The sequence below is a fragment of the Homo sapiens genome, chromosome 2, assembly GCF_000001405.40.
Source record: "Homo sapiens chromosome 2, GRCh38.p14 Primary Assembly".
Lineage (NCBI taxonomy): Eukaryota > Metazoa > Chordata > Mammalia > Primates > Hominidae > Homo > Homo sapiens.
The window spans coordinates 80,130,406-80,157,740 of NC_000002.12; the positions used below are offsets into that span (position 1 = coordinate 80,130,406).

Below are 27,335 nucleotides of genomic sequence, written 5' to 3' on the forward strand. Positions count from 1 at the left end.
TGGGAGAAAAAGAGATAGAGTTACAACTATTGCTCCAGGAGCTGCAGTTGGGAGTATGTCTCCCACTCTCCTACATGAATATCATCTGCCATTTGTATATCAGTGAGAGAAAATGTTTGAAAATCACTTTAGTAAAAAGATGCAAGTTATGTATACATAAAACATACCTGTCAAAGTAGAGAAAGATTAAACGACAGGGAACACAGTCAACCTGCGATGGTGGTTGTATCTGAATGCGGGAGGTGGCTAGAACCTAGAATGAGAATAGAGAATACTTTAACTCAAAACAGGTATATAAGTAAACAGCAAATCTGCTTTGAAGACTGTGTTTGTTATTTCTTGTACTCTTTTTTTTTTAATTTTCTGATATAAAGTTGCTTTTTAAAATGTTAATGGAAAAAGAAAAAAAAGAATTCATGAAGCCCAGATAAATAGGGGATGGAAATAGAAATGAGGCTTACAACAAGAGTAGGCCAACTCTAAGAAAATATATTAATTCGCCTTGTGATTAAAAAGAATAATACTGAATCTATATATGAGAGAAAATGTCACAGCTATACCAAAAAAAAAAAGAGAAGAATTGATAAAATCCAAAAAAGCATATGGTTTAGTTCATTTTATTGTACCAATGTCAATTTCCTGTTTTTTTGTTTGTTTGTTTGTTTGTTTTGAGACAGAGTCTGTCTCTGTCGCCCAGGTTGGAGTGCAGTGGCGTAATCTCCACTCACTGTAACCTCCACACCCCTGGGTTCAAGCAATTCTCATTCCTCAGCCTCCAGAGTAGCCAGGACTATTGGCGTGCACCACCACACCTGGCTAATTTTTGTATATTTAGTAGACACGAGATTTCACTGTGTTAGCCAGGCTGGTCTCGAACTCCTGGCCTCAAGTGATCTGCCCGCCTTGGCCTCCCAAAGTGCTGGGATTACAGGCATAAGCCACTGTACTATGGTCATGTAAGACATTATCATTGAGGAAAGCTGGGTGGAAACATACACAGAAACTCACTGTACTATTGTAACAACTTATAGGTCTCCTACTATTTCAAAATTAAAAGTTTATAAAATGGTAATGACGGTATAAAATTCTATCTATTTCTAAGAGATTTTTGTTCTTAGAGGGGATTTTTATCATCACTGCACTAGAACCTAGAATGAGGATAGAAAATTTACTAAAGAGCATAGCTCTCTAATAGTGACAAATCAGGTAGGGGGTAGAATCTTCCAAGACAGCCCACAGATTCCATGGCTCTGATTTTTTTCCACCCACCCCAAATTCTAAGCCTCACCATGTGTTCAATTATTAAACTTGTACATACATTCTCTCACATGTTCTTAAATCCTCAAGAGCAGTCCTTCTAACAGGTGTCTTGTGTAGGTTATTAAAAACTATCAGCCGGGCACGGTGGCTCATGCCTGTAATCCCAGCACTTTGGGAGCCTGAGGCAGGTGGATCTCCTGAAGACAGGAGTTCGAGACCAGCCTGGCTAACATGGTGAAACCCCATCTCTACTAAAAATACAAAAATTAGCCAGACGTGGTGGCAGGCGCCTGTAATCCTAGCTACTCGGGAGGCTGAGGCAGGAGAATCACTTGAACCTGGGAGGTGGAGGTTGCAGTGAGCCGAGATCTTGCCATCGTACTCCAGCCTGGGTGACAAGAGTGAAACTCTGTCTCAAAAAACATGTATATATAAATATATCTTGTGCAGTTTAATTTTCTGCTTGGATGATATGCCTGCTATTGTGATGTTTGTGGAAGTGAAGACGTCTTAGCACGTACTGTTAGCTAGAGCACTTTGGAGGAGAAGAGTAGACACATTGCTACTGAAAGCTTCATGCTGCCAGCCTTACATGAGAACCTTGGGCTGTCCTTGCATGCAGGTGGGAGAGAGGGCTGTCTCATAAGCAGGACTTCAAGGAGTCGTAGAGACAAGACTGGTCTCCATCTGTTTCAAAGTTTCTTTCATGCATCTTCCTTCCAGATATGCTCTAGTTAAAATATAAATGTATCACAGGAGAGAGACACATTAATTTCTCTCCATAAAATCCGAGTACGTGTTTATGATATACTATCCAAGTGCAAAGTCTAGAAGCAATATAATTCCCTCCTAGGATGGGTGGTGTAAGGGCTTTATCATTGTTACTACCTTTGAATTGATTATTTATTTCTATTTAAAGTAACAAGTTACTCTTGGCAGCCCAAATACTCAGCAGTGAACTGGAATTGGAGAATGGGGGTGAGAGTCAAGAGCAGAACCCCTATAAATGCAGGCATTGATGTGAGTAAAACTAAAATTAGCAGAATGTTAATAATTGTTGAGGTTGAGTCACAGGTACATGGGGACACATTGTTATTCTCTCTATTTTGTTTATGTATATTTGACATGTTCTATAGAAAAAAATTTAAAAAGAAAAAATAAGTGATTTTGTATTCCAATGTATTGTCAGGAGATTATTAGATGTTATAATAATTTTCAAAAGAAGGTAAAATCATGACTCATATGGATATAAAAATGAACACCTTGTTATGGATTGAACTGTGTGCCCCTAAAAGATATGTTGAAGCCTGAACTCCCAGTACCTGAGAATGTGACCATGTTTGGAAATAGTGTCTTTGCAGGTTTAATCAAGTTAAGATGAGGTCATTAGATGGGACCTAATTTAATATGGCTGATGCCCTTATAAGAAGAGGGAATTTTGGACACAGACATACAAGGAGGACGCCATGTGAAGACACAGTTGGAAAAGCAGGGAAGAGATGGCCTTGTGTATAAGGAGGCAGAGACTGGAGTTATGCTGCCACAAGCCAAGGAACAACTGGGGCTACCTGAGCTGGAAGAGGCGAGGAAGGATTCTCCCCTAGAGGGTTCTGAGGGAGCGTGGACCTGCCAACAACTTGGTTTCAGATTTCTAGTCTCCAGAACTATGCAGTAATAAATTTCTGTTGTTTTAAGCCACCCAGTTTGTGGCACTTTGTTACGTCAGCCCTGTGAAACAAACAAACAAACAAACAAAAAACAAGTTAAATATTTTATTTAACTCATAATATGGAAATAGGTGAGGTGTTACAACCAATTCAAAAAAGAAGTGAAAAATAAGCCCAAATGTATATAGAGTAAAGGAATGTTGAAATGAATGTGCAAATGGAAGCAAAACTAGATTCTCCTACAATGGGACAGAAAAGTCAATTGAACCTCTACTGGACAGAACATAATTTGCATGTGTATAGAAAAAAATTGTGCATTGTTCTCAGTTCACCTACAATTTACAGAGTCGCAAAATAGCTCCTGTTGCATCAGAATCAGATAACCTTGACAGGTGTTCTTTAAACTACGGGTTGTTTTCTACTGAACTACATAATTTTCTCTATATGACTAAGCAAAACAATTTTAAAGCCTTCAATACAAATGCTCATTATAGAAAAAGAAGAAGAAATGAAAAAGAATGAAAAATTAGATTTAAGACAGACTATATGTACTGAATTGTGATAGTTGAGAAAGTTAATCAACTCTGTGACCCCTGTTCCTCATTAGTAATATGGGAATAATACTATTAGTGCCTGTCTATTAGGTCATGGTGAGGGTTAAATGAGATAATGCACTCAGAGTACGTGACAATGACTGGCTCAAGGTGTTCAATAAATAATTGCCATTATTGCTATTATTATTTTACAGATTGTTGGGAAAATTAACCCAGAGAATCAATAGAAGTGTTGTATATTATCAAGTATTCTTCAACTCTAGCTTCACCCAACAATCATTACTAACTTGAATACAGGACTTGTTTTAAGATGAGAGTAGGCTGAAAAGGTTGCAAGCTAGAGTAGGATAGTGTCTGAGAAACACAGAGCAAGAAGGAGGCCTAAGAATGAAGGGAGCAAATAAGAGTAAGAAGAGGGGCATGGAGGGAGGAGGCAGGGATGAGACAAATGGAACCAAGGCCAATTGATGGTTGCTGTGCAACTACGCTAAGTGCTGACCCTCCCCCAAACCCTTTGGTTGGTAAATGATCACCATAATGGATATGCAACCCGCTAATGACCCAGCTTGTAAACCTTCCAGGGGGGTTTGCAGAAAACCCGTTAATAAACTTCAACTTCATCCATGTGACCCTGAGACCCCACTTCTGAGGGCAGACAGAAGAGGAAGTGGGTATTATTCAGATGCACAGGGCAAATGGAATTAAGGCACACTGATGACTGGGTGCCTGCGCCATGCCATTCATGAGGCCAGCTTTGTCTCTTCAGCATCTCACTCAAAAGAGCACTTCTGCCAAAAAGCCACCACCCCTGTTCTGCCTTTCCGGTTGTGCTTCAAAGCCGTTATTGTGTCACTTGCTCTGGGCTTGAAATTGTTCCTTAGATTTCTTCCCCGAAAGAGTTTACAGACATTGTACAAAGAAATTAATTAAGTAGATTTTCCATTTGCACAATTTTAATGAATAAATGATGTTCCTATTTGTTTATCTGCTTTCTAATTATAACACAATTCAAAACATCTTGGTTTTCTGCATTCCGACAATGTTATTGTTATGGTGGTGTTATTGCTGTTCTCTCAGTGCAGGTAATATTATTTTTTTTAGATAGATGCCAGGTGCAGTATTCCATATTTATTAAAATGTGATCTGCATATTTTTCTCTTTTCATGTACTGCTTATCTGTACAAGAGCAGAAAGTTAAATATAATGCTCTGCATTAAAGAGCCTGAAAAGAGTTTCACAGACAGTCTGAGGATTTGTGGTCTGGTGTGGGGATTAGGCTTGGGTGATGCAGTTCAGGGCCAACAGAGAGAGACTTGGGCTAGGGGCCAACCAGCAGGACCTAACTTTACTGCTCCTAGCAGCCAACAGGCCATGAACTCTGGCAGGAAGGCCTGACAAATGGAGTTTTCCCAAGGAGACAGATGTCAGCGGCTCAAAAGCCAGCAGGCCTGAAACTCATGGGGAGCAATCTAGAGACAAAGGAAGGAGGGCTCTGGACAGGAGATACAGCCTCTTCCTTCTTTGTCGTAGAGTTTTGAGGTGGGTAGACCAGAAATCATAAGTGTTTGTTACAGACAGAATTCAGAGGTCTGTAGAGGAATCCTGCCTTACTGAGGTTGGGCAGATGTCCCACGTCTCTTTTCTGCCCTCTCAGGGTGCAGGGAAGCATCATTGTACACTTTTGCCCTTGACTGGAGGAGAGTTGTCTGTAAATCTGTCCTGACCTCAGATAGGCACTTGAGAACCATCCAGTTTAATGACTGATTGTGGGCCCCCTATGATGTGTCATTCACAGAGCTAAGTGCTGGGAAGACAGTCCTGTTCTTCAGGAATTTACAGTCTAGACTCCAGAAACTGCATTGGGAGACCTCTGTAAATATGAGTTGCTTGGCTCCCTGAAAGAGTTATATCCTTGGCCTGCCTTGAGGTCAAATGCTGTGGATACTGCTCACAGTGGCTTGAAATTGCACTCCTTTTCTCCTTGTGCACTCCTTATAACCCCAGGGGTAGGAGGATGGTGGTATAAAACATACTCACTGTCCATGCTTGCTAACCCATGGTAAAAGGCAGTGTGGTATAGAGGAAGGAGGATTTTGAAGTAGAGCGATCTGGAATCCCAAATATTTCCTGCCTTAGTGTGAGATACTAAGTAGGTAAACTTAATCTCCTGGGCTTATGTATCCTACTGTGCACAATGACAACGTGATTCTTGGTTTTTGTATAGTAGTTGCAGCATTTAGATGAGGTAATAGTTGTGAAGTTCCTGAGAAGTGCCTGGACGTTAATAAATGACTGTTCTTGATGCATAATGACTGTTCTTGATGCATAGGCCTGCGGAGGAGGCAAGAGCATTGTATCATTGTCCAGGATCTGGGAAACTTTGCCAAAACCTGGCTCTGTGACTTGGTCAAAGTACTCAACCTCTCAGCCTTAGCATCTGATTTGTAAAATGAGGATTTGGATTAGAAGACCTTTGGCAGGAAGGTCTTGTGATTTATTGATTGCTATAGTCAACCATTGCCAATGCTAAGTTTGTTGGCTTTCTTCTATGAATAGTCAATGTACCCTGCTTGGACTCTTCCTTCTTGTGGTTTCCAAAACTTGACCTCTTTCTTATGCAGTTTCCTCCCAGTGAGCACCCTAGTCATCCTTTATCCTCACAACTATAGTTCTTTTGTGTTGCGTTCTGAGCTTGTGCCTTACTTCTCAGGGATTTTGCTACTGTGGACACTTTCATCTTTTGTATGTTATTTCCTGTTCCTTTCTTTGGTGACTTTCTTTTTGTCTGTACTCTTTGGCCTCTTGCAAAAAGCAGGGCCATTGATCTTTATACCCTTCTTATTTTATTTTCGCTGAGTCTGTTGATTAAATTGTACATTGGCCACATACTATGTTTATTAATGAAGCCACCATTTAAGAGGTAATAAAGTCTAGTGTAATTGGCTTTATTGCCTCTGCCCAACCTCTTTACTGGACAGAAGGTCAGTCAAATGGATAGACACATGTTTATCTCTTTACAATAGCAGCACACAACTGCTGCTGCATGAAGGTGGCCTCTTCATTGCCTCCCTCCGTACAACATGTTTATGTTATCTTTATGTGAAAAGATCTTCTTTCCTGATCAGCCATCAGTGATGTGCTCCAAGCACAGGAAGTGCCTGTGGTACCCAGGAATTGCAACAGCTGTCAGAAATAAAAGATATGTCTCTTGTTCCTGAGAAGTTTATAGTTTACTGAGGGAGACCACACAGCACACAGGGAGTTACATATAATCTGGGCTGTTATCTTATAAGGCAGAATACAGATATTTTGAGAAACCTACCACAGTCCAAGGTGGTAAAGGAGGGTTTATTTCACTCTACACTGAGCCTAATTGAGGGATAGGAGTTTGGGGCTGCTAGGAAGGAAGTTATAGGCAATTGAATTTGGCTCAGTAAAAGGATGAACTATAAAACTGTCAGAGTTGCTCAAAGACATAAGAAGCTGTTTCATGAAGTGGTGAGTTCCCTGTCAAAGGTGGTAATAAAATACCTGATGGGAACATTTTGATAGGAGATACGAACTAACAGTGAATTAGCAAGGCAATTTAAAAAATCTCCTTGAATTCCTGGGAGTCTGAGACTTAAGACTCCCTGGACTAGGGAGGTAATGGGAAAGTTCTTTGAAGAAATGGGACTTTGAGGTCCCGTTAACTAATGAAAGGCTAGTTAAGTGGAAAGCACTGGAAAGGTGCTCTCAGGCAATGGGATAGAATAAGTTAGGAGCTTGGACATTGGCTGATACTCAGACGTAGGACCATGCACATAGGAATCCATGGGATGGGTTTTAGAACAGCTGGATCTCCTGCCTTTTTTTTTTTTCTAAGTTCCTTAGCCATTCAGATAAACTAGGGCATTTCTATTGGGACTTCTGTGTATTTTTGGACACTTGATCATTCCATTGTTGGGATTTTAAACAACAAAGTATTGTGAATAGAGTGTCTTGGGCTGCAGTTTCTCAAACTGTTTTGCTGGGGGACACATGCCCCACCCCAGCATGGCTTCATAAGATGGAAGAATTAGCTGTTAGAGCTACAGGTCATTCTGGTGGCATATGGACAAGTTCAAACTCAGTTTTGTGTCAATTTTACAAAGGAGAAGATTAGGTGTGGAAAATAAAGAAAAATTGATATGGAATTCCACAGAGCATCCTGGAAGTATGACAAACCTTCAATCCTTTGGACTCTATTAAATCCATAAATATCTTGTATAGCAGAAGAGGGAATAAACAATCAATTCACCCCAGTGTCAACAGAGTGGTCTTAGAAAAACCTGGATCTGATATGGCTCCTTTGCTTAAAATCCTTTAGTGTTGCCTGATCACCTCTAATAAGAACATCAACCTTCTTGGGGTGGAAAAAAAGGCAGTTAATGATTGACAGCATCAACTTTACAGTCCCATTGTTTGGGGATAAATGTTGATCTTAGGCTAGTTACATAGCCTATCTATGCCTTGGTTTCTCCATCTGCTAAATGGAGAGTATTGTAATAGCACCTGCCTCATCAAATTGTTATGATGATTACATGTGTTAATATACATTAAGCATGGAGAATAGTGTCTGGCATGCAAATAATATTAGTACTGGGTTTTGTACCCCCTACTCACTGTGAGCTTCTTGAGAACAGGTATCATGTGCTTTTTGTGGGCATCTTCCCAAGTACCCATCACAACACAGGGCTGGCACATGATATGCATGAAGGTTAAGAACACAGGTTGAGCAGCTGGACTGCCTGAGTTCATATTCTGGTTTCATCCTGGGACCATCTGCATGGTACTAACTCTCCTCATTCTTGATTTTTCTCATCTGTAAAAATGAGGTGAATAAATGAGACAATACCAGTAAAGCATTTCATTTAGCACAAAGCCTGACACTAAAATTGTTAGCTAATATTATCCTTAGAGATCAATAAAAATGCTTGCAGAATACATAGTCAACATTCCAATAAAAAATACCAAGATGTGTCCACTTTTTTTGTGCCCCTCTCCCTTTTTTGCTGTCGTAGTGGCCAATCAATTCCCTGTACCTCAATTTCCATGTTGACTATATGGTGATAATTCTACCAAATGTTTACTTCCCAGAAGGACCAAGAAGATGGATGTTCATGTTTTTAAAGTTGCTCTAAGCGACCTATGGAAAATTGCAAGTGAAAAGTATTGTTCTCATCATGATTATTAATTGATTCTCCAACCACTCATCAGTTGGAATATGACTGATCCACAGACTCTGGAGGAAGATTTATCACTTGCCTCCCCAAACCTATGGATGTGCCTTTCATTAAATGCAATTATCTCCCAGCCAATGCACGCGTCTTGAGTCCACCACCTCTTACTCAATGAAATCATTAAACCTCTTTGCAGCAAGGAGCCGTCAAAAGCCACCTGATGAAAAATGACCATGGATTGGTATTTGCTTTTAATTATACAATATCTGCTCTTGGAGAGTTTCAAGGATGTTGCTCTGTTGTCTCTGCTCCCTCTGTTTTTTTCTTTTATTCTTAAATATGGTTTAATACTCCTTTCCATTTCTGTACATCACAACACCAAGATTTTACTGCTTAGGATCTGTCTGTAAAGGCAATGGAGAATGCAAAGGCTACAGTTTTCACCCCCTCTTATGTATGTGTTTGTATGTGTAAGTGTAATACGTATCAGTATATATTGATACACACATCAATACATAATACAATATATATTACCAAAGGGAACACACTGATTAAAGAAACACAAAAATTTAGCATCATTTCCAAACTTAAATAGTAAAAATAAAAACTACAAAAGGAGCTGCACACCCTAAATGTATCATGTGAAACAACAAGCACATTCAAAAATGTAAATTTACATCCAATTTCTCTGGTCTTGTCATATCACATCAGACCCATTTACAATGGCAAAACCCTAAGGTACTGCTGTGAAGAAAGCATGTTTGCTTGCTCTTGGGTGTTCTGCAAACAAATAGCAGAGCCCAAAGCAAAAAAAGCCTGTCCCGGTGAAGTCTCCCACATTGGTGAACACCAAAGAATCAACTCTTCTCACTGGGGGTTGAGACATCAGGTTACACATTGACAGACAGTATTTGGACTTCAGAGTACAGTGTGAGAACTAGAATCTTTACATTTAAGACATATTTCCTTTATTCAAGTGAAACAGGATTATTGGAACAATAGGCAGGTCTGTAACCTGGGAACAAGGAGTTGGTTCAGACCAATAAAGCTACGAGTGACTGAATCAAGTCAGCAAAGAACAACAGTCAGGCACGAAAGTGTTAAAAGTACCCAATTTGAAAACCAAATGCACCCCACTATCCTAGTTAGTGTGGAGGTGATACCAATTGACTTTTAAAACCTTTGGTCCTTCAAAGTCCATTTGGTATACTTTTTATCATTGCTACCACTGGCCACATACTATACACTTTGTTCACTGTCACCACCTCGGGCATGCCATGACCTTGCATGTCAGCTGGGTTCAAGTCTGACTTACAGCCCAGCTGTGAAGCATAAGCTTCAGGGTTTCAGGCCACCTTTTGGATCCAACATGGTCTTAAGTCCATGGTGACAGAAGCTCTGTCCTATCCCTTCCCACCCATCCCTCATTTCTCATGTGAGAGGTGCTTGTACGTCCCACATTTGAAACAGATGCTCCAACCCCACCAGGAGGTCAGGAGTTTATAATTACATGCAGTCATAAATGTCTGTCATTCCTGTGAAAAACCTTGTAGTTCATTTTAATAAATCAAAACATTCACATAATCTCATGCCATCCAACACAAGGAAAACACATCCACCTCCCTTTTAACAGGGATTGACCCAAGCAAAAGAAAATCCTCTTTAAATTTCTTTGCTTCCACTTAAATTGCATGTTTTATTTCTCCCAATCCCAGCAAAAGCAGAGAAACCCCATCATATCCATCCCAAACTGATTGCGAGTAGATTAAGGTTATAGGGACCCTTGTCAGATGCTTGATACAAAGGGCTCCCAAATCCCAGGCACAAATGTGTCTGCAAACAGATGGAAGTTAACAGTGCACCAGCCCAAATGCTTCATGATTCAGTTTGATTTTGCAATGCAGTTTGCATCCTTGAAACTGCCAGTCTGGGCTCCCTCCTTTTTAAAAATGTATTTATTTATTTATTTATTTTACTCAGCCCTCCCTTGTTACTGTTTTAGAATGTAGAATACCAGTGTATGTGCTTCTTCTTAGGACCGCTCCATAGGCAGGAGCCTGCCTCAGGAAGGATGGACATATTTGAGAAGGGTGATGAGTCACTCAGGGATGGCTGTCTAGAGCTCTCCCTTTCTGACATCCTCACCAAGAAAGAAAGCCCTCAAATAAATATTAGTCTTTGTCTCGCGGAGGCCACAATTCAACATGTAACACAGTTTCCTTGAAGGAATTTTTTGAGCCCTCTTATATTAGCTATAAACAGACTTACCAAGCAGAGGATGAGGTTTAACAGCAGTAAGGTTCAAAGGAGGGTGGAAGGCTGAGATAATCCACAAACTGGGGAAAACTTGGGGCATATTGTGAGGGAGGGAGAAACATTAAAGGGAGAAAGAAAACCACCAAAGATAAATATCCACCCCCTCCAACCCTGTGAGCTCTGCCTCTTGCCGGCCTCATCTTACAGAAAGAGCAAGCCCAAGTGAGGTGACTGTAGGTTTGGGGCAGACAACATAAACCACCATGAAGGGCAATTTCTGTAGGCTGAGTTCCACCAGTGAGATGGAGCAGGGATCACTCTTAGGGGTCTGCAAGGCCCAAAGCATGGAAATAAAGGAAAATCTTGAGTTATTTCATGGGAAATTTCAGGCATCTAGCTAGCCCTGAGAAGTAAGTGAGCAACTTGTCAAGCAAGAAGGTAATAGTAGCTTAAAACAGTATCCCAGAAAGAATCATGGGATGTTTGGTTCCCTACAGGAACTAAAGATAGCATTTTTTTTTTTTTTTTGAGACAGGGTCTCACTCTAAAGATAACGTCTTAACATATGTCCCTGAGTTGTTTTTCAGAAATCCAGATCCCCACCAAATGGATCCGCTGGCACATAGACCTCAGATAAAGAGGAACTGAGGACTGAATTCTGACTGCTGTTCTTTGTTCTGAATTTCTTCCTGAGGGGCCTGGAGGTCAGATGTAATATTCTGCTGATCCCAAGCTTTTAGAGAAAGCTTCGCCTCCTAAACCAATTGCAAATTAGAAAAATTTTGGATGCACCTATGTCTTATGAGCCCCTGCCTCAAGATGTCCCACTTTTTTAGGTCAAACCAATGCCTATCCTTCATGTATTTGACTTATGACTTTGCCTGTAATGTCTGCCTCCCCACCTTTAAAAACCCTTACCTGTAAGTCATTGGGAAGTTGGAGTCTTCAGCGTTAGCTGCTCACCTCTTCTTGCTTGGTGCCTTGCCATAAATGCCTCACTTTCTCTCACTGCAGTCCCTATGTCAGTGTTTGGCTTTGCCGCACTGAGTGAGCAGACCCCAGCTTGGTTTGATAACACCAGCAAGAGAGTATTTGAGGATGTCTTGGAAGCCCTAAAATGAGGAGCAACAAGAACTGTTAACAGATGAAAAAAGCAGAAAATGGAGTGAAGGAAAGAAGACGTAATGAAGCTGGCTATCTGGAGATGGAACATTCAGTTTCTCAGTTGCAAGTCTCTGAAATACCCTGTGTGTAGCTGAGATATTTTCCCAAAGTTCCACAATGCATATGAGCAATGAGGCCATACAAGCTTGTCCAACCCACCTTATTTTGTTGTTGTTCTGCTTTGTTTTGTTTGTTTTAGGCTTTCAGCAGCCCAAAGCCATGGTTTTTAGTTTCTGTCTCTAGTGATTAAGTGGAAATGAGAGATGCGAAAGGGGCTTTACTGGCCTAACCAGAAACAGAAACTAAGGACCCATGACTGTATTCTCTCCCTTGGACAACCTTGTATGGAGTAACAAAGGGCCATTGGATCATTCCTCAGGTGCCCCATCAAGATTAACTACCGTTGACAATGCCTCATAATGATAAGTGGAAAAGAGAGATGAAAAGGGGCTTTACTGGCCTAACCAGAAACAGAAACTAAGGACCCATGACTGTATTCTCTCTCTTGGACAACCTTGTATGGAGTAAGGAAGGGCCACGGGATCATCCCTTGTGTGCCCCATTAAGATTAACTACCACTGACAATGCCTTATTCTCCAGCAGCTCAGGTCTTTGATGCTAGGTGCCAGTGCTGAATGGATGTGAAAGTTCTCTGTGCACTTTGACTTACGGCCCAAGTGTCCTTCCTCCAACAGCCTTCCTCAGAACTTTACGCTGATATTTAGTCACAAGCAAGTGAACATTCCTGAAGGACATCAGAATGACTTCTATGTATTTTTTTGTGTTATATTATTTGGGACTGTCAAATCATAATTGAATATATTTATGGAGTATAAGTAATGTTTTGATACATTCATACATTGTGGGATGATCAAATCGAGCTAGTCAATGTATCTGTCACCTCAAATATTCGTCAAATTTTTTGTGAGAACACTTAAAATCCTCTCTTTTAGCTATTTTGAAACAGGCAGTACATTATTACTTATTGTAATCACCATGCTGTGCAGTAGACCACCAGAAGTCATTCGTCCTAACTGAAACTTCACACTCTTTCACCAAAGTCTCCCCTTTACCCACCCATGGACCCTCCCCAAGAATGAACAATTTGGAGTAGAAGATAGATTTCACGATATTACGTAAAATACATTCCTACATTCTCCTTTCAAAAAGAAGCAAGAAATAAAAAAATCAAAAACATCAAAGCTAAAGCAGCCCTAAGTGTAACTTGAAACTGCCTGAAGGAGGGCAGGGGAGGGATCACATAATTGCAGTGAGAAGTTCTGTTTTGCCAAATACTTGAGTGGAAAAATTATTGTTCCAAAGACCCAGTAAGTGTGACAACTTACTTGTCAAAACATTAATTCACATTTTGCTTTGATGGAGAGAATTTAGATTTTAAAATATATCTGCAGGGGTACTTAAAGCAGTCACATCTCATGTTTAGTATAGTTGTCATTAACAATTTCAAAGTTTTGGGGGCTAGAGGTCTTTCCCCCAATTAATGAGACTAAGTCCAAAAGGCTTCTGACCCTCTATGTTCTTTATATTTGATGATGCTGCCTTGTTAGGTTTTTGTCACTTTTGCCCCGTGCAATCTTTTAGCTCTAACACAAGTGTTTCTTACTTATAAAAATAGTAGGAAGCTTGAGGTACGTAGACAAAATGTGACAGTAGTGATATTAGTGCAGCGGGTTACAGTCCTATCCACATAGAAAATGAAAATTTTACGTCCTAAGCAAGAAGTTGGCAGCATGCAACTGTAAGAGGCACCACAGATTCCCCATAGATGCACCTGGTTAAAAGACAGCCTCCTCCTTAACAATACCAGAAGAAAGCTATAGAACTTGTGAGTTTATAAAAATTTAAAAAGATTAGTTAAGATCTGAACCCGTAATATGAAATGAGTTTTATTTAAATTCCTAAAGACAAACAAGTACAAATGTAAGAATACAACAACTTATCAATAAGGCAGTTTCACAGCAGTATATTTCTGAAGCTGCTCACCAGTCACTTCTTCCTAAGTCATCACTGGAACACTTAGAGGACGGTGTTGAGGGTTTTTCCCTGTCAGAGGCCTGAGCTGTCTCTTACTCTTTATTTGTCCTCACTCATTTCAGCTGGTGTCCATTGTTATTTTTCACTTTCGCCCAAGTCACTTCCTATTAATCCAGTTGTATTTGTCTGTCTGTAGTTGATCAACAGAGCTGAGATATTTTGCCTTAACCACACAATCTTCATTAACTGCATTAGTGTTGTTCTTCATTTGTTTCTCATTCATTATTTCTCATCCTGAAAATATTTATGGAATACTTACTCTATGGCAGAGTTTGTTACTCTCATCACAACTGACGTTTGGGGCTGAGTAATTCTTTGTTGTGGAAGATTGTCCTGTGCATTGTGGGATGTGTAGCATCATCCCTCGCCTCTACCCACTAGATGCAAGTAACACCTCTCCCCCCAGCTGTCACAACCGAAAATGCCTCCAGACATTGCCAGATATCCTCTGGAAGGCAAAATCACCCTTGGTTGAGAACCACTGCTCTCTGTCAATCACGGTTCTAGAAGCTATGGATACAGAAATGAAGAAAATCTTGAAACTGTAAATGCATGCAATATAACATGTTGACATAAGAAAATCTCCTTAGTTACTAGCCTATGTGCCCTGTTTGAAATAAATGATCTATATAAAATCCACTGCAGGCTGGGAGGGTATTTATAGACCCACAAGGCTGTAGGTGGCAGCAAAAGGCATTTTCTGGGTTGAATTCTCCCTGGAAGGGTCCTCTTATCTACACTCAAAGCATTTTTCTCCCCAGTCATTCATCCAACAAATATTTATTGAGAGTCCACTGGTTACCAGGCATGTTATGCTTGTTTCCCCTTCTCCCTTTGATTAGCTTTCTCCATGACCTCCAGAACTAGCCACTAGCCACTGTTGGGGGTTTTAAAAGCTATTCATTTGCAGTACCATGCTGCCTCCCCAAAGCATTTCTATTTAACTGCCATGTGCCTACTCCATATGGAATACACAGGAGGTCTGGAAATTCACGATTCAATTAACAGGAATTTAATTAGTGCCTACTCTTTGTGAGGTAGATTAAGAAGAATATGGTATGTGTCCTTCACTTGACCATGAGCCATTCTGGAAGTTGGGACATCTTGTTTCAGAAGCCCTGGGAGCGTTTTCCTAGCAGATCAAAGTCTACCAGAGAGAACTGTTCAGGGTGGTTCCCACAAAGGTTTATAGTATCCATCATCAGCAATCTAATGTGTATATGACTTTACAGAAAAGGTTTCATTTTTCTTTTAAAAATTCTCCATTTGCCGCACACACACTGGTAACTTGGTCATAGTTGCTGGGGTGGATTATAGATGTCTAAAGATGTCTCGTGTAATATTTTTACCACTTCTGCCATTGAGCAGTGGAGTCTATTTCCCCTCTTCTGGAGTCTCCTAGCTTTGACCCATAGAATGTGGCAGGAGTATACTCTGTAACTTCCATGGCCATGCTGTAGGAGATCTGCGGTGGCTGCTTCCAGCCATTTGCAGTACTTTCTCTTGGAATATCATTGCAATGCTGTGAAAACCTCAAGCCATGCAGAGGAGCACTGAGGTGCTCCAATGGACAGCCCTAGCTGTCTCTTCAAACAGCAGGGAGCCTTCACTGGCAGCCATGGAGGTGAGACTATTTTGAATTTTCCAGTTGTTCTGCAGCCCTAGCCAATAACACGTGGAGCATAGATTAGCTGTCCCTGGCGAACTCTGCCAAAATTGCAGAATTGTGAGCAAATACATGATGTTTTTTGTTTTAAGCCACAGTTGTTTCTTGGATTGTTACTCATCAATCGATTCAATAGACAACAAAGACAGTTACTTCTCAAAATTTCTTCCCTCTGAACTCTCTCCAACTTTCTGCTGATTAGGAAGTCCAGTCCCTAATGGCCTAGTTGACTGTCCCTGGCATGGGCTTTCAATTTAGCTTCTCCATCCATTTTTTTCTCTATCCGTGATGAATTGTCTTGCCTTTGGGGAAGAAATAGACCATTCCCCAAAACTTACCCACTTACTCTTTCTTGCTCTTACTTGAGTCTAGATTTGGACCACGAGACTCTCACTTTAACTGGTTAACCAAGAAGATTGATCATTTTCTAGTTATAGATTCAATTTATACTATCGTTTTCTGAAGTAGGAAGTCCCCTCTGGTTTTTTTTTTTTTTTTTTTTTTTTTTTTTTTTGAGACAGAGTCTTCCTCTGTCACCCAGGCTGGACTGCAGTGGCACAATCTCGGCTCACTGCAACCTCTGCCTACCAGGTTCAAGTGATTCTCCTGCCTCAGCCTCCCGAGTAACTGGGATTACAGGTTCCCACCAAAGTAACTGGGATTACAGGTTTCCACCACCACGCCCTGCTAATTTTTGTATTTTGTATTTTATTTATTTATTTATTTATTTATTTATTTATTTATTTATTTATTTTGAGATAGAGACTCCCTCTATCACCCAGGCTGGAGTGCAGTGGTGCAATCTCAGCTCACTGCAATCTCCGCCTCCTGGGTTCAAGCGATTCTCCTGTCTCAGCCTCCCAAGTAGCTGGGATTACAGGCACACACCATCATGCCTGGCTAATTTTTGTATTTTTAGTAGAGATGGGATTTCACTATGTTGGTCAGGCTGGTCTTGAACTCCTGACTTCAGGTGATCCACCGGCCTTGGCTTCCCAAAGTGCTGGGATAACAGGTGTGAGCCACCATGCCCAGCCTAATTTTTGTATTTTTCGTACAGTTGGGGTTTCACCATGTTAGCCAGGCTGGTTTTGAACTCCTGACCTCAAGTGATCCACCAACTCGGCCTCCCAAAGTGCTGGGATTACAGCCTTCTTTTGAATCACAGGGATGTTAATCAGTGTGCAGTAAAGACTGAACATAAAAATGGCGAATGGATATAAATGCTGTTGTTGGGAACTATGGTCCTAGCTGAGGGGCACCAAGATTAGAAGAAAACACTCACCACCCACGATGAACTCCAACAGGACTCCCTGTCAGATTTTCCAACAAAATGCCCCTTGTAAATCACTTTTAGGGGCCTTTGAATCCCTAAATTTCAGCAAAGTCCTGTTGAGATGCTGTATATGCTTTTCTTATATGAAATATTTAATGGTCCATCTCAGCCCCTTGTAGCAGGCTAATGCATTTCCTCTCCTGTTTTATCAGCAGTGTTTTGTGTTAGTCATTTATACCACGGGGTGGACTTCTCAGCCCCTACCTCCCTGCACCCACCCACCCAATCTTGTTATGATGTTCATTTGTCACATGCAGTACTGTGGTTCCTTAGAGAAACACAATTGATATGCCATCAAATTGCTCCTGACAGAGTGGTTTTAAAAGCTTTTAGAGCGGATGTACAGGGGAAAGTTTTGTCTTCACGGAGTCAGTGTGGCTCATCTGTCTTTATTAAATGTCTAACAGTTACACTGAACAAGAATGACATTTTAAATAAGAGTAAGTACTGCTTAACTTTTTAATGTCATTTTTTTAGAGCCAAGGATTTGAATTTTTTTGGTAAATGTACATAGCTCAGTTTATAATATAGGCTTTCATTTTTTTCTCCACTCTTTCCTCCATTGCAAATATCTAAATGTCTCTATTTTCAGTTGAGTTGGTAGAATCTGTCTCTCTTGAGATGTTCGGGGATTTCTTTTTAAAGGCATTGGCAGATTTCTTTCTGTACAGGCTTAAAGTTAGCCAGTCTTGTCTGGATTCAGGGGGTTACAAAAGTAGCATCAGCAGCAAAGACTGCTGAGTACAGGGAAGTTGGGAAACATCATGTGAAAGACAAGGAACTGGATATTTACAAGTCAACAGTCAGGTGGGCAATAGAATCCCAAAGAATACAAAGGCTAAATGATCACTGATCCAGCTGGCATGTTCCAGTCCTTGCAAATAGCTGCCTAAAGGCCTCTAGGCCTGCAGGGGCAAACTGAGGCAGGAGCTCATGTGCACTGTGGGGCAATGCACCCGAGAGAGCAGAGGAGCAGCACCAGAAGCAAAGTATGGGCCTTACCACCAAGGCCACCTGTCCCAGCTGCAGGCCTTTATTTTAAGAGATTTGATTCTGGACGAGCATAGTTTTCCCAAGCTCTTTGCTGAATTTCAGTTTTATTTCTCTGAGGCTTTGAAAGTTTATGAACGTATGCCATATAGAGTGTAGTTTTCCTTAGGTTCCATAAGGAAAACTGTCTTCCTCTTCAAAATAAAACCAAACTCTCCTAGGCTTGGCACTGGAAAGAGCATCTCCGGATGAGAAGAGAAGGTTGAACCACTGGACTCCTCTGTGCCCTAAATCAACTTCAGGCTGCAGATCATCTTCTTTATTGCTGCCTTGTGTGCTCCACTCCTCTGTTCAGTGGATGGAAATCTCTTTCACCTGATGTGTCATTAGCACTGCTGACCAAACTGGAATTTACCAAATTAAAAAAACAAAACTCAGAAAAGCTTCAACCTTCTGACTTATTTTGTTATTTTTTTTTTTTTTTTTTTTTTAAGACAAGTTATTTCTCTATCATCCAGGCTGGAGTGCAGTGGCGTGATTTGATCATAGCTCACTGCAGCTTCAAATGCTTGAGCTTAAGGAATTCTCCTGACTCAACCTCCTGAGTGGCTGTGACTACAGGTGCATGCCAGTGTATCCAGCTAATTTTTAAAAGTGTTTTTTGTAGAGACAGGGTCTTTTACTTTGTTGCGCAGGCTGGTCTTGAACTCCTGGCCTCAAACAATCCTTTCCACTCAGCTTCCCAAAGTTCTGGGATGACTTATAAAATACATGTTTTTGATCCTGTTATGAGAAGTCTGTAGAAACGCTACCTCTAGAAAATGTACTGTTCACACTCCAAGATATTTCTCTATAGATGGACATGTACATACACATGCGCACACACACATCATATCCATTTAACAGGGCTCAGCCCAAATGTCACCTTCTCTGTTCACTACAGCCAATTACAGTTTCTTCTTTCTCTATGTCAGGGCTTTTCTAATAATATGTCCCCAGCCCTTGTAGTGCTCCAGGCATTAGGCCATAGAAATACCCCTTAATATGCACCATTTGTGTAGCATACTTACGTAACTGTAGGCCTAGCAGCATTAACTAAGGAGATTGCCTGTGTAGACACTGAAATTTCCAACTGCTAGTTCCTTTCCAAGTCATGTTGATTAGGTTTCTTAAAGAGGATCTTCAACTCTAGATTCAGGGAATACTCGATTAGAATGGATCACACACACACACACACACACACACACACACACACACACACAGTGTATTCACTTTCTGAAAGTTTATTAGACAATGACCCAAGATGCAAATGTTTAGTTACAATTTTAAGCCACATTCAAGATCTTGTTTAAACACAAAAAACACATGCCTGAAGAATGAAGAGTGAACGCCAAAGCATCCACCCTAGGCCTGTTCATTATCTCCTGCACCTCCACCTGCATCTGTTGGCTTCTTGGGTCTTGTGCTGGTCATCCCCAGGCTCCAGAGGCCCTCTGCACATCTTCTCAGGGTCTGATTAGTATGGTCAAGTGATTTGTTGCCACACTGTGGAAAATCTTTTTCTGAGATGGTCACGCCTGCATTACTGCTGCCACCACTGAGATTGCTGTGGTGGTGCTTTCATTTGGATTTTACAGCTTGGCATTTTGCCATCTGTGAGCCCAGACTCTCTCTCTGTCTGTCTTCTCTACTCATTACCTCCTCTGAGGCTTCTCTTTCTGACTTCACAATTCCATCTCAAACTTTACATCCTCTCAGGGACCCTGACTTTAGCTCCCTGGCCACAGGGTCTCAGTCTCACTGGCCCCATCTCTCTTCTTCAGCCTTGAGGACCTTGCATGCCGCTCACTTGCTACACTTTGGTCTCACATCCTCCCACTCAAAAAGTGATGGAAACTGAGGCTTCTGGGGCAGATCACTGGGGTCAGATTGGGAAAAGCCTGGAATACCACACCAAGGAATTTGCATTCTTTAGGGGATGTAAAGCCTGTTTTTCATGTTTTCAATTCCAAGCTACAACTTTGAGGATTTTTAGATTTTGGAACACATGTGATTTGGAGAAGGGCTTACAGTCTCTCAGGGGACCATTTGGGGAGAAAAACCACACAGTATGATTATTGTATTTAAATAAACACTGGTGTTGGTTCAGAGCACTATTCCCTGTAATTGCCTACTTACAGAAGTATGCAATGCTAGAACAAAAACTTCACCTGTTTTCCCCGTGTGGTTTCTGAAAATGGATATTTACACTGACACAGTACACTTTTTTCAACTTGGAAAAATATATCACCCTTTTATTTTCAGGCAGATCATGGAACCATTTGTTTTTTAATGTGAGGGATGGTCGTGGGCAGGTAAGCTGCTGGATGTGGAAAGGGAACCAGTCTCCCATCACTTTCTCCTCAGGTGAAGTTGAAAGCTCAGCCTGTTGCCCACGAGGTTAGCTGTCTAGAATCCACAGAGGGCCATCCCTGGGCAAAAATGAAGAAGTAGGCAGGGGCATTTCTCTGTAAGCCTACTTTAATCTCCCCATTCTCTTTTATGCCCCACTCTCCAGGCCTCATTGCTGGGCAGTTTCGTCCCAGGCTCTGTGCCTTCAAGCAGCTCAGAAGCCTATGTTTCCTTCCTGTTTGGTCTATTTATATTTCCCCTCCAAGCCAACACACTGCCTTTCCTTCCCTGTGACAGTGATATTCAGATTTTTCCTTCTGTCTTATCTGGATTCAATTTCATACCAAACCAACTAGAAATGGAGTTTAGTTCTCCCAAGTGAATAGGCACAGTTTCTCTTGAGCTACAGTCTAGTGTGGAGTGTAGAGTCCTTTGATGAGGAGTTCTAACACTAATGACAAGCTATTGCTTCTCTTTGAGGCTTGATTTCCATAGCTGTACAATGATTGTGAAATATACAGTAAGAGCCACAAAATAGCCTTTACTCACACAGCACTTTCAGGACTCTAATGGCACCCCACACATTTCTTCCCAGATTGCTCTGAGCATCCCCTAGTGTTTCTAACACATATTTTTAGAAAGCACTTGACTTGGCAGTACAAGATCTCTGCCATTGTCTTATTCCTTCTTGCTCCTTCTCACCGTAAGCCCACATAGCCGTGCCACCAGCATCCATGACAGGCTCCACCACTGTTAGCTGAGCATCACCAAAGTCCTCATGGTTCCTACTGGTCCCGATTTCTGTGTAATGGCTGGCACTACCCAATGTTTCTGGCAAGGGTTGCCATGCCTGATGTCTGGGGTCCAGCTGCTGCTGCCAGTGCTGCCTCTTCTGCTGCCAACCCCACTCTTTTCATCCTCCTGCTGCTTCCACCAACATTTCTGCTGCCATCGCCAAAATTACAGATGCTGCCAGCACTGCAGCTTTGCTTCCCCCCTGCTGTCTTGTTGCTGCATTGCCATGGGCATCAGGCAAGGGTTCAGGGGCCTAGGCCAAATGGCACTGTGGCCACTTGTATGTCTCCCTCCTGGAAAATGCAGGCTATCCAATAAAGGGGAGAGAGGAACAGGGCAGAGCACTATAAAAGGCAGTGAGTGATTGGTAAAGTTAACTGGGATATGTATATATATTTCATCTTTCTAGACTGTGGTTTCATACGATTCAGTTAAGAATACTTGATCCCAATATCCTTTCAACACTTCAGCATCTGTGAGTCTTTTCAGTGGAGACCCAGAACCTCTAAGTGGATGGAATAGGGCAGGTGGTATAGGCTTGTGGCAGATCCCGGAGAAGAACCAATGCCACTTGATGTTTTTTTTTTTTTTATTCCATGGCATTCCCTGTGTGAGACTGTGCATGTGTGCTTATGTGTGCATGTGTGTTCTCTGTATCTGGAGTCACTACTACAAGTTTTTCAGAGCAGGGGTTGGTTCTCATTATAATCACATTAACCTCCAAGCATGCACTCTGATGCCAAGCTGTAGGATTCCATAAATGTTTGATGAGAAGTTTGTTTGTTTTTCATTCAGAACATTTTTTTTATTATTAAAAGCTCCAAATGACTAGGAACAAAGTGCTTAATATTCTCCAGCAACTCCACCCAGTCAGCACATCAAAAGTTACCAAAAAGGGACAAGAGAAATCAAAGAGATGCAAATGAACATAATGTCACCACCTTGCCTTTATTGTACTTAAAAAAAAAAAAAGATTCAGAAAAATTTTCTCACTAACACAAATCTGTTATTCATTAAATATTGGTGATGTGGACAGGGACATGGGACATTTGTATCTGTGCAAGCCACAACTTAGGCCTTAGCTCCTCTCCTGCTAGAGTTCAGAAATCTTTGGACATGATTGTTAAGATTTGGGTAACAATAAACCCAAAATAACTGGATTTACCTTTATTTTCCTGCACCTTCCCTTCAAGAACTTCAGCCTTTTATATTCTTCCCAAATAGCTATAGAAGTCCTCAGAGGATCTAAGTTGTGTTTGTAAAATCAGCCATATTGACAACTACATGGATCTTTGACTTTTTCTTCCTGCTCCCGCAGAACACCGTGGTGAAATTTGCAGCACCATCCGGTGCCAAATTTAGCATCCAGGTCACTGGTGCCACGGAAAGCGTTGCCACTGATGCTTGTGCCGGGAAAGGCACCTCTCCTCTGCTTCAGTGTCCATGCTAAGGGTGCTCATACCCAAGGCTGCAGGTGCCATTGTTTCCCTCTATTAGTGTCTCCAGGGGCTTACTGAAGGGTCTTTTCATCCTGGGAGCAGCCTATGGTCTTGCCCTTTCTCAGTATTTGTCATCCTGCCTTGCCTGAGTGCCATTACTTCAGAGCTAAGAAAGAAGATGCTCAGTGGTTTTAATTAGGTTAAACTAATCCCTCCTGGTATGTTACCCTTCCAGGAAACCTAATGCCTCACACTGACAAAAATGCACCCAGTGGATCTTAAAAAGTAGTAGAGATTATGCCAGGCGTTGGCCTCGTTTGAAAGGAAGGATCTGGCTTTTCCTGGAAATAATAACCGCCTGTTTTCTCTTTGCATCAGATCAGCTCCCTCTTCTTCCTCACTGCTCCTTCTTTTCCTGACCTCCATTCCTATGGATTAGCTAATTAGTACAAGCACCACATAGATGAGGCTTTATAGCAAGGGTAGAAAGAGCAGATGATGTTGGGAGCATGGAGAATGATATAGCTAATTAAAACAACAACAACAATATTCAACAACAACAAAAACCAGCAGCTGCCTCCCTTCTGCTTCTGGAGGGAAAACTTTGAATCATTTTGTGAAGTTGATTGAGATGTACAGAGCATTGGAGGAATGAATAGTAGTATTATTACATTCAAATTACATGGTTCTCCCTGAAATATGAGAGTGAATATAGTGTAATAAGAACACAAATTTTCTTCCTGACTCACCACTTCCAAACTCTGCAACCTTGGACAAGTTACTCACCCTCTCTGGGCTTCAGTTTTCATATCTATCACAAGGAGAAAATACTAGTGTCTGTCCCATAGACTTGTTAGAAAAATGTAAACAAAGAAAGACCTATGTAATAGAATTGTAGCTGATACAACATTAGTACTTTATAAATATTAGCTATGACCTGAAATTTGCCATTATAATTATTATTTAGGCACTGCCACCCACATTTAGTTCTGCAGTTTATGTGGTTTGATTATTTTTCCCTAGAGAAGGCTCATGGCTTTTTGGCTATTAAGCATTTTTTTTCCTGTTGGTATTTTAGAAAGATATAAAATGGCATCTCAGAAGGGCCTCTAGCTATTGGAAAGGTGAATCGCCCGTTGGTTTAATTAGAAGAGATATTTTCAGGTGGTGCCCTGAAAAATGAGATGATGTTTTTTGAAGAGCTACTGCTACCGGGGAGATAGCTTATCACGGTGTGGGTTTCCACAATGCCGGGAGCTAAGTTCCAGGAATAAACCGAGCTAAGAAATATATTCTGAGTATTGAATGTGATTACGAGGGGTAGGGAGCCTGAAAACATGTGACATTAAGGCAATTTTCTTAGGGACAGAAAGTCATACTCTATTAGGTCTTTTGGCCTCATAAAGTGTTCTAGGCCTGTATGGGTATTTTGTGTTTGTCAGGGTGGACAAGATTGTGCTGAGAAACTACCTAATCCCCATCCCAGTGGCTTAATAACACAGAGTTATTTCTCACTCCTAATACCTGCTGAGTAGAAGCAGCTGCAGGGGTGAGTCCTATGTGTCTCCTCCACTTATCAGCCCAGATCTCCAGGCTGGTGGAGCCTCCACCTTTAATAACAGCCATTCTCAAACTTTTTAATTTCCTAAATTCCTTTACATTCTTAAAAAATATATACAAGACATTTGTTCATATGATTTATAACTATAGATATTTACTGTATTATGCACTAAAACTGAGATGTAAAATATTTATTTACTCATTTAAAAGTAAGTATATAGCCAATACATGTTGAGATAAATAACACTTCATGGAAAATGACCACATTTTCCAAAACAAAACAAAAGAACGACTCTGTTTTGCATTTCCTGGTCTCTTTAATGTCTAGCTTATTTAAGGACAGCTGGATTCCCATATCTGCTTCTGCATTTAATCTATTGCCACATGCTTTTTTGCTTGAAGAGAAAACCTAGGCTTTCACAGAAATGTGATTAGAAAAGAAACAATCTCTTGGACCCCTATAATGGTCTTAAGAAAGCTCAGGGGTCCTTGGATCACAGTTTGAGGACTGCTGAAGTAAAACTTTTCCAGTCACTGTGGCTGAAAACAGGAGTGATAGTTCTCCAGCTCTTTAATATCAGAAGGAATGTAAGTCGCTTTTGCTTATAATTTGTTGCGTACAACTCACCACATGATCAAGCCTAACTTCAATTAAGGCTGGGAAATACGGGAAAACAAATGGAGTAATTAATGAGGAACACTGTTTCTGCCACAAAATCATCTACTTCATATCTTGGTAGTCCTTCCTTTCCTTCCCACCTCCCTCCCCAGTTACTTGCTTGCCAGTGACTTCTTCATTTCCTTTCCTTTTCTTCTTTTCTTTTTTAATGCTGACCTGTAGAGTATTGAAATCAAACTCAATGGAAGTTGGTTCAGAAAATGGGATATCAGGGAGAGCTGAGGCAGATTGGCAAGCCTTGAGCTGCCTTTATTGCAACTGTGTGACACCTTCCTCTTGTTCCTTTGTATCTTTTTCATCTACTCTTCTGCTGTAGCTGTGTTCCCTTGGGCTATTTTGACCCTCTCAAAATTAAAATTCTATTGGCATTTTTTCTGTCTGCTCACATTCAAATCCATGGTTTGCCAGACATTGTATTCACATCAACTATTTCCTCAAAGCAGTTCTCAGATGTGAAGTAGAGATGATTCACCTTGGGCTTCTGGAACTTTCAGCATCCATGTCTGCCTGAGGCCTTCTGTTATCCATTGCTCTAGGCCACTATTGCCCAGATATTAGCATGCATATGAATCACCTGGGGCTCTTGTAAATGCAGATTCTGATTCAGTAGGTTGTAGGGTGAGACTGAGATTCTACATTTCTAACAAGCTCCAAGGTGATGTGGATGCTGTTGGTCCTGGATCACATTTTGAGTTATAAGGCTGTAAACCCAACCCCAACATATATATCCTCTGGGGAGCCATTCCTCTTGATGATTTGCCTCTTACTCCAGAAGAGACTTTGGCTAATCTTCCAAATCTAGCCAATCATTTGAAACTCACTGTGAATCCCATCCGCTACACACTTTGTACCACCAACATACTTGAAGATGTTCAAGTCCTCACGTTAGAAATATGATCGTTTTATGGTTTCTAATAATTGCCCAGAACTTGGTATGATGAATCTTCTTTCCTACTTTGCAAGTAGCTCTCTTAAAATTTGCTGAGAGTCTATCATTTTTCAGTTGTATGCATTTACTTACAAATACAAATTTGGATTTCTAAGGTTCACTTTCCTTATAGCTGGTAATCTCTCTTCTGTGCCTGGGCAGGTGCTCCATGTAGCAATCTAGGCTTAGGAGAAAGGAGAAAAAGGTAGGTTGGTTTGGTGCTCACACATCATGTCCCCTTTTAATTCTGGTGCTAGTGGACTAGAGAAATTGAGAAGGAATAGATTAGAGTCTCCTCACTTGACATGGCTGAGCTTCGCTCCTCATTAGCCATGACTGCTCTTCAGCCTCACTATCTGCAGACTCAGCACAGACAGGTGGTGGGTACCACACGCATTGCTGATGAGGGGCACATCTGTGAACAGCTGCCTAGTTGTGGTGATCCCTTTGGCCACATCCTTCAGTTGGCAGAACCATACTTACTTTCTCTTAACCCTCAAACTAGAGTTGTATTAGAAATACAGAGGCCCCCAAATTTACCTTCTCAGACCTTTAAATCCAAGCAACATCTGATGTTTTATCTTATCCAAAATGAAGAACTCAAAAGAAGGGAGAAGGAGAACTGGTACTTCTTGCTCTACCCCTCTCCATGAGACTTTCTGTCCCTATTTCTGGTTTTCTCACTCTGGTGGTATAGGACAGATCAGCTAGTTCACTGGCTAAGATATACACTGCAAAGAGGAATAGAATGTAAACATTCTCTTTTCTTTCCTTGTTGCAAACTTCCTCAATCTTTTCAGGTTATCCTCTTCATCTCAGGGTAGAAAAATATGTTCTTTCATCCTCCATAAGAGGGGATGAATGAGGCAAAAATGCATTTAATAAAGACTACAGTTTCCAAAAATGCTCCTACCTTTCTCACCACTCTGTCATTTATATTGAACAGGAAAGCGGGGGCGTGGTTGGTGTGAGAAAGGGTTCTTTGACAATTCTCAGTAAGCCCAGCAGGAATGGAGCTATCTCATGGGTCCTACGGGACCCTGAACTTCAAGGGGAATTTAGTTCCTTTATTCTCAACACTGGGCCTTTAACATGAGTGCACGACAACTGGAAACATCCCAGTTGACTGCCTGTTAGATGTGTGTATGTGTTGCATCAGATCTGATCATCAGTTGAGTGAAGATTCGTGACCATTTTTTTGTTTATCAAAACCGTATCAAGTGGAACTTGGGCAAATGAATGGTTTCTATTTTTTTTTCTCAGCTGTTCTGGTGCTGTGTACACTGTCAGAATTAGGTCAAGGGAAGGTAGTTATTCTAATTTGCTAACACTTGCTGTGTCTGAGAATGTTTAATGCAACCACAGAGAAAAAACAGACATGTTTAAAAGGTATG

The 27,335-nt window shown here is 41.1% G+C and overlaps 1 protein-coding gene across 11 annotated transcripts in view, besides 1 other annotated feature; it reads left to right on the forward strand.

Annotated features, from left to right (window-relative positions):
* CTNNA2 (catenin alpha 2) overlaps positions 1-27,335 on the forward strand; it is a 1,463,404-nt gene that overhangs the window by 945,029 nt on the left and 491,040 nt on the right. The gene's annotated exons all lie outside the window — the stretch shown is intronic.
* Positions 5,791-6,420: an enhancer, noted in NCBI's record as "OCT4-NANOG hESC enhancer chr2:80363322-80363951 (GRCh37/hg19 assembly coordinates)". NCBI's record gives its function as "activates a minimal SCP1, AML or CMV promoter by ChIP-STARR-seq in primed H9 embryonic stem cells {active_cell/tissue: H9 hESC(primed)}" and the evidence as "EXISTENCE:reporter gene assay evidence [ECO:0000049][PMID:30033119]".